Consider the following 10,861-nt stretch of genomic DNA (forward strand, 5'->3'; position numbering starts at 1 on the left):
AGAGAAGAAGGCTGAATCCTTCAGTGACAACCTGTGAACCAGAGTCTTAGCTCTCTTTGAATATTTTGTTCAGTATCTTTGGGTTTTGTTTTATTTTGCCTAGGGGTAAATGCTGACTGCCTGTTCTCTGGACAGGAATGGAGAAGATGGTGCTAGCAGGGTTGCTGTTCATATGTAGACATTCATGCAGTCACTCTCTTTTCAGCACACTTCTTACTTCTGCCCTGGGTTCAGTTGCTGACTCTGAGCCCAGAAACCTTCTAGGGTTCTGTTAGGTAGATTGGCTTCCACCGTCTTTGCGACAACCACAGAAAATTCTAGACTGTTTTCTCTTCGGGCTTCATTAGTCAACTTGCTTCAGTCTGTCTTGCATCTTCTAAATATTTATAGATCTCTCTCTTTTGTTGGAGTGGCAGAAAATGCTAGTTGACCACCCAATATTCAAATTATCCTGCCTCCTTAATAACAGAATATCATTGGATGTGGTGGGTAAATAATATACCCTAACTTTCCTTGCAGAGAGGGGTGGCCAATGAGATGGAAATGAAAGTCATTGGGAAAGACTCCCAAGACATCTCTTTAAACAAGACAGACTGAAGCAAGTTGACTAATGAAGCCCAAAGCTAGCAGTTGTTTTTGTTTATCTTTGCCTCTTTCTTCTTCTTCCTGTGGGGACAAAGGGCAGTGATATCTGGAGCTGCAGCAGCCATTTTGGCATAATGTTGGAAAAGCCAAGAGACTCTCAGAGACCGCAGCTCCAGCAGTTTTTTATTTTTTCCAAATATTTGCTCCACTGCAGGAGGATGAGATATTCGTGTTTGTTGCCTTGTGACTGTAGGAGGACTGCACTTCCCTGCCTTGTTGTCAAGTTTCCCCATGTGGTCTGCTTTGGCCAGTAAAACATGAGTGGGAGAAGCTTGGTGAACCATTGCATGTCTACCAGCTTTTTTGCTCTCTTCCCTTTGGCATTAGAAAGGCATGTCCAGGATGGAGTTGTTCCTTCAGCCTAGATTGGGTTATGAGAAGCTAGCTGGGGGAGTCCAGTAACATATAAAGCGAGTTAGAAATAAAACTTTGTTGTTGTAAGCTATATATATATATATATATATATATATATATATATATATATATATAATATGTATGTAATATATAAATACATATTATACTTTAAGTTCTAGGGTACATTTGCACAATGTGCAGGTTTATTACATAGGTATACATGTGCCATGTTGGTTTGCTGCACCCATCAACTGCTCATTTACATTAGGTATTTCTCCTAATGCTATCCCTCCCCAGCCCCCCACCCCTCAACAAGCCCTAGTGTGTGATGTTCCCCTTCCTGTGTCCAAGTGTTCTCATTGTTCAATTCCCACCTATGAGTGAGAACATGTGGTGTTTGGTTTTCTGTCCTTGTGATAGTTTGCTGAGAATAATGGTTTCCAGCTTCATTCGTGTCCCTGCAAAGGACATGAACTCATCCTTTTTTATGGCTGCATGGTATTCCATGGTGTATATGTGCCACATTTTCTTAATCTAGTCTATCATTGATGGACATTTGGGTTGGTTCCAAGTATTTGCTATTGTGAATAGTGCCGCAATAAACATATGTGTGCATGTGTCTTTATAGTAGCATGATTTATAATTCTTTGGATATATACCCAGTAATGGGATCACTGGGTTAAGTGGTATTTCAAGTTCTAGATCCTTGAGGAGTCGCCACACTGTCTTCCACAGTGGTTGAACTAATTTACACTCCCACCATCAGTGTAAAAGCATTCCTATTCCTATGTCTCCACATCCTCTCCAGAATCTGTTGTTTCCTGACTTTTTAATGATTGCCATTCTAATTGGCCTGAGATGGTACCTCATTATGGTTTTGATTTGCATTTCTCTGATGACCAGTGATGATGAGCATTTTTTCATGTGTCTGTTGGCTGCATAAATGTCTTCTTTTGAGTAGTGTCTGTTCATATTGTTTGCCCATTTTTTGATGGGGTTGTTTGTTTTTTTTCTTGTAAATTTGTTTCAGTTCTTTGTAGATTCTGGATATTAGCCCTTTGTCAGATGGGTAGGTTGCAAAAATTATCTCCCATTCTGTAGGTTGCCTGTTCACTCTGATGATAGTTTCTTTTGCTGTGCAGAAGCTCTTTAGTTTAATTAGATCCCATTTATCTATTTTGGCTTTTGTTGCCATTGCTTTTGGTGTTTTAGACATGAAGTCCTTGCCCATACCTATGTCCTGAATGGTATCGCCTAGGTTTTCTTCTAGGGTTTTTATGGTTTTTAGGTCTAACATTTAAGTCTTTAATCCATCTTGAATTAATTTTTGTATAAGGTGTAAGGATGGTTTCCAGTTTCAGCTTTCTACATATGGCTGGCCAGTTTTCCCAGCACCATTTATTAAATAGGGAATCGTTTCCCCATTTCTTGAGCTACAGATATTTTGAGTTTGGTTACCACAGTATTATCTAGTGGAAGTTGACTTATACAGTATGTAATAGGATAAATATAGGTGTGTAACAGAATATTAAGTGTTCGTGTTTCAAAGCTGAGGGGAAAATGTTAAAAGTGTTCACACACTCTAAAAAGAGATTAGCTAAAACTGCTTCATTAACCACACTTTGGGGAAACCAGTTCTGAGATTCTTCTCCATTACTCTGACAGGTTGGACCCTCTGGGGAGCAGATCTCAAGATCAAGTTATGAGTGCAAGAGGTGTGTTGGGAAGCGATGGTTGTAAAAGAATCCTGCAGTAGCACCAGGCACAAGTCTGTCCAGGGAGAGGAGGACTTCTACTCTCTACCAGCATCTCTCCTAAGTCCCCTTAGGGGACGGGGGCAAGGAAGTGCTGGGAAGGGCAGGGCATGGTTCCTGGCTAGGACTCCACCCCCCTGGGGCCTGTACCCACGGACCTAGGTGAAGACAGGCACTCCTGCCTTCTCGCCCAACGGTTGCGTTTCCCAAGATCATCCTGGCCTGCCACGCCCCCATCTACCTATTAAACTCCCCCACCTTCCCCAAACCCTAGCAGGCAGACACACATCGGTGGAAGAAGACAGGAGCGGCTGGACATTGAAAGGACGTCGAGAGGAGCACACCTGCACACCATCGACCAGCGGAACGAGGCAGAGTGTGGCTGGAGCAGTCGGAGGGAAGCCTGGGCCGCTGACTCCAGGGGAAAACCATCTCCTTTCTGGCTCCCCCCTCTGCTGGGAGATACTTTCACTGAATAAAACCTTGCACTCATTCTCCAAGCCCACCTGTGATCCGATTCTTCCTGTACACCAAGGCAAGAACCTGGGATACAGAAAGCCCTCTGTCCTTGTGATAAGGTAGAGGGTCTAACTGAGCTGGTTAACACAAGCTGCCTATAGACAGCGAAACTGAAAGAGCACACAATAGCACACACTCATTGGGGCTTCAGGAGCTGTAAATATCCACCCCTAGACGCTGCCATGGGGCGGGAGCCCCACAGCCTGCCCGTCTAGAGGTTTGAGCAGCGGGACACTGAAGAAGAGAGCCACACCCTCATCGCACGTCCTGCGAGGGAGACAAGGGAACTTTTCCGGTTTCACTTCTGCTTGGCTTGAGCTGGCACTGAAGCACCCTTTTCCCTCCTCACTGAGGGAGCAGAGGGGAAAAGCGGTAGAACTAACAGGCTAACAATGCTCCTCCGAAAATATATCGTATTTTTGGATCCCTAGAGATAGGTGATCACGGCAGCCGCGGAGTGCATTTGGGTCTCCTTTCAAGAAAGAACTTGCTGCTCAGCGTTGAAGAATGCAGTTGGCCAACAGCCTCCAGCTGCTCTGTCTTCAGCATCTGCCATGGCATCTGAGCTGAGGTCATGTTCTTCCTGGGAGGTCCCCAGCAGAAGGATCACGTGGAAGCTCCACAAGCTCCACAGATGTTCCAGGAGAGGAATAGGCAGCATTTGGAAGACATATCCTGCCATAACAGAGGGCATTTGCTAGTAGAGACAACAAACAGCAACAGCCAAGTAAACAAACACACAAGCACAAAGCACTTTCTCCCATTTCCCCTCATTGATCCTGTCCGGGTAGAAGCTGGGGAGGAAGTAGAATAGGGTGAGGCGGGGTGGGGCTGGGGGGCCTACACCTTCTTCCTTCCCCCGCAGGTCCTGTCCCTGGGCCAGGCTTGAACTAGGGGAATGGGAAAAGCTGTGAAGTGAATGAGAATTAGGAGTTTTTATTTAGACTGGACTTGAATTTTTTTTTTTTTTTTTTTTTTTTTGAGACAGAGCCTCGCTCTGTCACCCAGGCTGGAGTCCCGTGGCGCCATCTTGGCTCACTACAGCCTCTGCCTCCCGGGTTCAAGCGATCCTCCCACCACAGTCTCCTGAGTAGCCGGGATTACAGGTGCCTGCCACCATGCCCAGCTATTTTTTTTTTTTTTTGTATTTTTAGTAGAGACAGGGCGTCACCGTGTTGGCCAGGCTGGTCTCGAACTCCTGGCCTCAAGTGATCTGTCCGCCTCGGCCTCCCCAAGTGCTAGGATTATAGGAGTGAGCCACCACGCCTGGCCTGGACTTGAATTTTTAATTCCTAAAAATGAACTACCAGTTAAAATTTAAAAATGACCAAAAAAGCTATGGGATATGCTGATGTTTTGCTTTGGGGATAAGGAAAAGATATCTGGTTGAGCGGCATTGAAAACAGTGTAGGGAGAGAAAAACTCATTCCTGGCTCACCCTTTTGAGTCCCACTATCTCAATAATCTGATGTTATATGACACACACACACACACACGGAGGAATCCTGGAAGACTCCATATCAAGGTGGTGATGAAGGTGACCAGTGGGTGATAGGATTATAGGTGTGTGTTTATTTATTTATTTTAATTACCTTTTTTTAGAGACAGGGTCTCTGTCATCCAGGCTGCAGTGCAGTGGTGTGATCATGGCTCACTGCAGTCTTGCACTCCAGGGCTCAATCCTCCTGCCTCAGTCTCCTGAGTAGCTGGAGCTGCAGTCATGCACCAACGTGCCCAACTAATTTACTTTATTTTATTTTTTATTTTTTGTTAAGATGGAATCTCACTTTATTGCCTAGGCTGGTCTTAAACTCCTGGTTTCAAGCATTCCTCCTACCTCAGCCTCTCAAAGTGCTGGAATTACTGCACTTGGCCCTATTATATTTTTAAAAAATTTCAATAGTTTTAGGGGTAAAAGTGGCTTTGGTTACATAGATGAATTGTATAGTGATGAAGTCTGGATTTTTAGTGTACCCATCACCCAAATAGTGTACATTGTACCCAATGAGTAGTTTTTCATTCCTCACCCCCACACTGTCCCCACTTCTGAGTCTCCTGATGTCCATTATAGCACCCTGCTTTTGCGCACTTAGAGCTTACCTCCCACTTAGAAGTGAGAACATGTGGTAGTTGGTTTTCCCTTCCTGAGTTACTTCACTTAGGTCAGTGGCCTCCAATTTCATCTGAGTTGCTGCACATAACATGATTTCATTCTTTTTTTGACTGAGTAGTAGTCCATCTCTCTCTCTCACACACACACATACACACACACACACACACACACACACACACACATTTATCCACTCATCCATTGATGGGCACTTAGGTTGCTTCTATATCTTTGCAATTGTGAATTGTGCTCCAATAAACATACATGTGCAAGTGCTGTTTTTTCTCCCTTTTATCCTTCTTTTCTTCCCTATGCTTCCATAGGTACTGAGAAAGAGTCTTTTTTATATAATTATTTCTTTTCCTTTGGGAAGATACCCAGTAGTGGGATGGCTTGATCCAATGGTAGATCTGTTTTTAGTTCTTTGAGAAATCTCCATATTATCTCCATATTGTTTTCCATAGAGATTGTACTAATTTACATTCCCACCAACAATGTATGTGTTCCATTTTCACTGCATCGGCACCAACAACGGTTGTTTTTTGACTTTTTAATAATGGCCATTCTGGCTGGGGTAAGGTGGTATCTCACTGTGGTTTTAACTTGTATTTCCCTGATAATTAGTGATGTTGAGCATTTAAGAAATATATTTGTTGGCCATTTGTATATCTTCTTTTAAGAAATATCTCTTGAAGTTGTTTGCCCACTTTTTAATGTGATTATTTGTTTTTTTTTCTTGCTGATTTGTTTGAGTTCCTTGTAGCTTCTGAATATTAGTCCTTTGTCAGAGGTATAGTTTGCAAATACTTTCTCCCATTCTGTAGGTTGTCTCTTTACTCTGTTGGTTATTTCTTTTGCTATGCAGAAGCTTTTTAGAATAATTAGGTCCCATTTACTTATTTCTGTTATTTTGTTGCATTTGTTTTTGGGGTGTTAGTCACAAATTCTTTGCCTAGACCAATGTCCAGAAGAGTTTTTCCTAGGTTTTCTTCTAGAATTTTTATGGTTTCAGGTCTTAGATTTATGTCTTTAATCCATCTTGAATTAATTTTTGTATATGGTGAGAGATAGGAACCCGGTTTCATTCTTTTACACTACATGTGGCTATCCAATTTTCCCAGCACTGTTTATTGAATAGGATTTCCTTTCCCCAGTGTATGTTTTTGTTTGTTTGGCTGAAGATCAGTTGGTTGTAGGTATTTGGTTTTATTTCTGGGTTCTCTATGCTATTCTACTTTTATACCGGTTCCATGCTGTTTTGATTACAATAGCCTCGTAGTATAATTTGAAGTTGGGTAATGTGATGCCTCCAGATTTGCTCTTTTTTTGCTTAGGATTGCTTTGGCTATTTGGACCCCTCTTTGGTCTCATATAAATTTTAGGATTGGTTTTTCTAATTCTGTGAAAAATGACATTGGTATTTTGATAAGGGTTGCACTGAATCTGTGGATTGCTTTGGGTAGTATAGTCATTTTTACAATATTGATTCTTCTAATCCATAAGCATGGTATGTTTCTCCATTTGCTTGTGTCATCTATTATTTCTTTCATTAGTGTTTTGTAATTCTCCTTGTAGGGGTCTTTCACCTCCTTGGTTAAGTATATTCCTATGTATTTTATTTTTATTTTTTGCAGCTATTGTAAATGGGATTGAGTTCTTGATTTGATTTTGAGCTTGGCCATCATTGGTGTATAGCAGTGCTAGTGATTTGTGTACATTGATTTTGTAACCTAACACTACTAAATTCACTTATCAAATCTGGGAGATTTTTGAGGATTCCTTAGGATTTTCTAGGTATGAGATCATATCATTGGTAGAGGTAGTTTGAGTTTCTCTTTTCCAGTTTGGATGCCCTTTATTTCTTTCTCTTGCCTGATTGCTCTGACTAGGGCTTCTAGTACTATGTTGAATAGAAATGGTGAAAAGTGGGCATCCTTGTCTCATTCTAATTTTTAGGGGGAAATGCTTTCAACTTTTCCCCATTCATTTTGATGTTGGCTGTGAGTTTGTCATAGATGATTCTTACTATTTTGAGATATATTCATTTGATGCCTAGTTTGTTGAGGGATTTTATCATAAAAGGAGGCTGGATTTTATTGAATGCTTTTTCTGCATCTATTAAAATGATTACGTTTTTCATTTTTAATTCTGTTTATGTCATGAATCACATTTATTGACTTATGTTTATTTGTTGCTTACATCTACTTTCTAATTTTACTATAATAAACATGTATAATTTTGTTATCAGAAAAGTAAATGTAAAAGTGAGTTTTAATTTTAAAACTTGGGCCTAAGTCTTCCTGCCTCCCAAGCCCATTCCCTTCCTGATATCTGGGGCTTCCCTCCTCAAGCCTGCTCTGCAGGATAAGGGGATACAGTCCACATGCCTGCTGCTGGTTTGGCCCATGATAACCTCCATGGGCAATGTCTGAGCCTCTGCTGTTGAGTTTTGCTTTACACACTCCTGGCAAGGAAAGGATGGCCAACATGGCTTGGACATGGGTTGCTGATAATTGGTGATGTCTCATGACTGGTTCTGCCTGGAGGGCTTGCTGTAAGTCCCTGATAGGAGGAACATGGACCTGCACAAGAGCAGAACTTATCTGACACTGAAGAGGACACTTCAAGAACAGATTATCAAAGTCTAGCTCAGGGAGAAATATACTTTAGAGCAGAATGAGGAATGGCGAGGCAGCTGAGCTTAGACACAAGCAGAAGGAAATCCATGGTGAGGGCACAGGCAAGGAAAGGGGCTGAGAGAGCATTAGTGGGGGCAGTCAGGGGCAGTGGTCAGGATGCTCGGATGCCAGCGTGAACAATCGCATCAAGATTAAACACCATGAGGATCGTTAGACTTCCTGTCATATGTCTCCAGGTGGTGCTCCAAATATCCTAAACCAGATGACAGCACCCCTCCACCCTCTGCTGTATAAGCACATCTGCTCTCCTATAATCATTCCCACATAGCAATTTATCATTTTTATTGATTTTTCTTCATTTAATACACGTATAAGTGTGTCTTTTATTTTTAAAAATTTGCATTCCTTTAATTGCTTTGGAGATTGTGCATTTTTCTCTCTGTTGATTTACTCTGCCAATAAACATGTAATCCTACCATAAGCATGTTTTACTTGTGTAATCAACCAAAATAAAAAATTTAAAAAGGAATCACTGACTATGAATTAGACATGTGGATAGGCACCAGGGTTGCAGACATGGCCCACGTTCTTGCATTAACTTGCACTGTGGCTGGGGCATTGGATGGGTACATTAAAAGGATTAAAGTAATATAAGGCAGTATTTATTAAGTGTTGAGTGAGCACTACAGAACCCAAGTGCTGAGGGAGTTTCATGCAGGAAGAGATCAAGAGTAACACAGAGAAGAAGAATAGATCAATTTAGCGCATTCATTTAAAAATTCACCTTTTGCATAAGGGGATGTGTCTTTTGTGGGGAGGAGGGGAGTTCCGATTGGCAGTTTGTTCTCAGGGAGCTTGAAGAAGAGATCTTGGAGAGGAGACGCAGAGAAAACAAATGAAGAAAATGTCAAAATGGAAGGGGTTGGCCCGGCTATGCATACCTTAGTTAGCTTAGGTAGAGTCTAAACTTTTACAAGTGGTTTCAATAGGTGTGTTTGGTCTGGGTTCTTTGGGAGGTATCATAGGAGAATGAAGGCAGGGAGGACGCTTCCAGCACCAAAATTCAAAGGGAAATGTATTTTACATGCATAGCATTGTTTTACTCTCTTTCCATTTGGAGCATATCTTAAAAATTCCATTTGGAGCATATCTTAAAAAACCCATTTCTCTGACAATGGTTCTAAAAGGGGGAAACATCCTTTGCAACAGAATCATTCATTCTCTCATTCATCAACCACTGATTGTGTACTAAGTGTCAGACCTGATCTCCATCCTGCCTGGTATGGCACTAGCTTCTGTCTTGAGACAAGCATTGTGATAAACCATGACCAAAAAAAGGGCAGTTTTATAAACACAAGTCTGCCAGGCTTTCAGCAATTCTAAATTTCCTTTTGCAAGTCAGGCTGGAGTTAATGGCTCTTTCCTGCAGCGGCGGAGATGACAGGGCTCTCCCACAGTGCTGAGCAGGCAGTTTGAAAGCCCCACTTCCTGTCTCTGCATGGGCGAGTGTCCACTGGAAGCCACTGAGAGGAAGGAGGGAAACCTCAGAAACCGGCCCCTGCCTGGCTGCTTCACCCTAGAAAGCCCAGGCAGAGGAGGGAAAGGTGAAGTGCTGAAAAAGAATAAAAAAGGGGGAACATGAAAAAGAGCAAGAGCAGGAAGGAGGCAGGGACGGGAAAGGAGGGGAAGCACGGAAACAGCCAATGTCAAGGAGAAGAAAAGATGGCTGGTGGAAAGGAGCTTCCAGGAATTGGGACACAGCCCTGTCTTATTGCAAAAGATGGAAACCCTGAAGGAGAACAGGAAGGAAAAAGAAAACAAGTCCGTCTGAGCTGGCAGGGTCCACTTTCTCATTCTACAGATGAGGAAACAGAGGCACAGAGAGGAAGTGGCTTGCCCAAGGGGGCAGATTCTTGAAAGGATCATCTGCACTCTCTCTCCCTTAATGCATTCTTACCTCTTCTTTACTCGTGAGTCAGTCCTGAAGGACAAGCTGCCTGAAGTCCCACACAGATGGGCCTGGGGCAAGCATCAAACATCCTGGGGGCCCTGGGTGAGGTTTGCTTTTAAATTCCAGGTCAGGGAAAGGAAGGTCTTTAAGTTGTCTGCTCTAAGCTTAGTAATCCCCCTCAGAGTTATGGGTGCGGTGTCTGGGGTAGCCGTTGCGTCTCTGGGCAAATACCCTGGAGAATGCAGTGTTGGTTGTCTGAGCTGGGGACAGAGTGACAGCATAGTTGCATGCAGAGCTGGAGGCTCCTGCAGCTGTACAGGTAAGGTGCTGAAATTCTCCACCAACCCTTCCTCTTTGCCCCCAGCACCACGAAGATAACCCTCTTTGAATATGTGGAAGTCTGTTCTCCAAACTTTCTAACATTCTCATGTCAGTCTTAATAGATTCAGCTCAGTTACTGCCTCCTCCAGGAAGTCCTCCTTGTCTGCAAATCGGCTGCCCACCATGCCGGCTCACTCATAGTTTTAACTCTGTATCTTTCTAATATGCCTTAGCCCACTCTGTCAGGATTCCAGTCAGCTTCCTTCTCCTAGACTAGGAGTTGCCTCAGGCCAGGAGGACCAGCCTTGTTCATATCTGTACCCTGCAAACCTGTCAATGCCCAAACCTGCTCAGTGCTTTGGAGTATGGAACCAGCCGTCAATGCAGGAATGTTACACTCTAAGAGTTCCCAAAGGTAGAGAGATGAGGGATTGGTGCTGGAAGTGGGAGGTTATTCTAAGGATGGGTATGGCAGGAAACACAATTATAGTTCAGGGAGTGGAGTGTCCAGGAGTGGGAGGAGAGGAACTGGGAGAAAGAGCAGAGAGTGAAAGTGAGAGCGGGCACA

General features: G+C 43.0%; 2 annotated features.

Annotated features, from left to right (window-relative positions):
- Window positions 3,497–3,586: an enhancer, noted in NCBI's record as "active region_7544". NCBI's record gives its function as "activates an Ori minimal core promoter by ATAC-STARR-seq in GM12878 lymphoblastoid cells {active_cell/tissue: GM12878}" and the evidence as "EXISTENCE:reporter gene assay evidence [ECO:0000049][PMID:35858748]".
- Window positions 7,848–8,048: a silencer, noted in NCBI's record as "peak2063 fragment used in MPRA reporter construct". NCBI's record gives its function as "represses an SCP1 promoter by STARR-seq MPRAs in K562 erythroleukemia cells {active_cell/tissue: K562}" and the evidence as "EXISTENCE:reporter gene assay evidence [ECO:0000049][PMID:32103011]".

The sequence above is a fragment of the Homo sapiens genome, chromosome 13, assembly GCF_000001405.40.
Source record: "Homo sapiens chromosome 13, GRCh38.p14 Primary Assembly".
Lineage (NCBI taxonomy): Eukaryota > Metazoa > Chordata > Mammalia > Primates > Hominidae > Homo > Homo sapiens.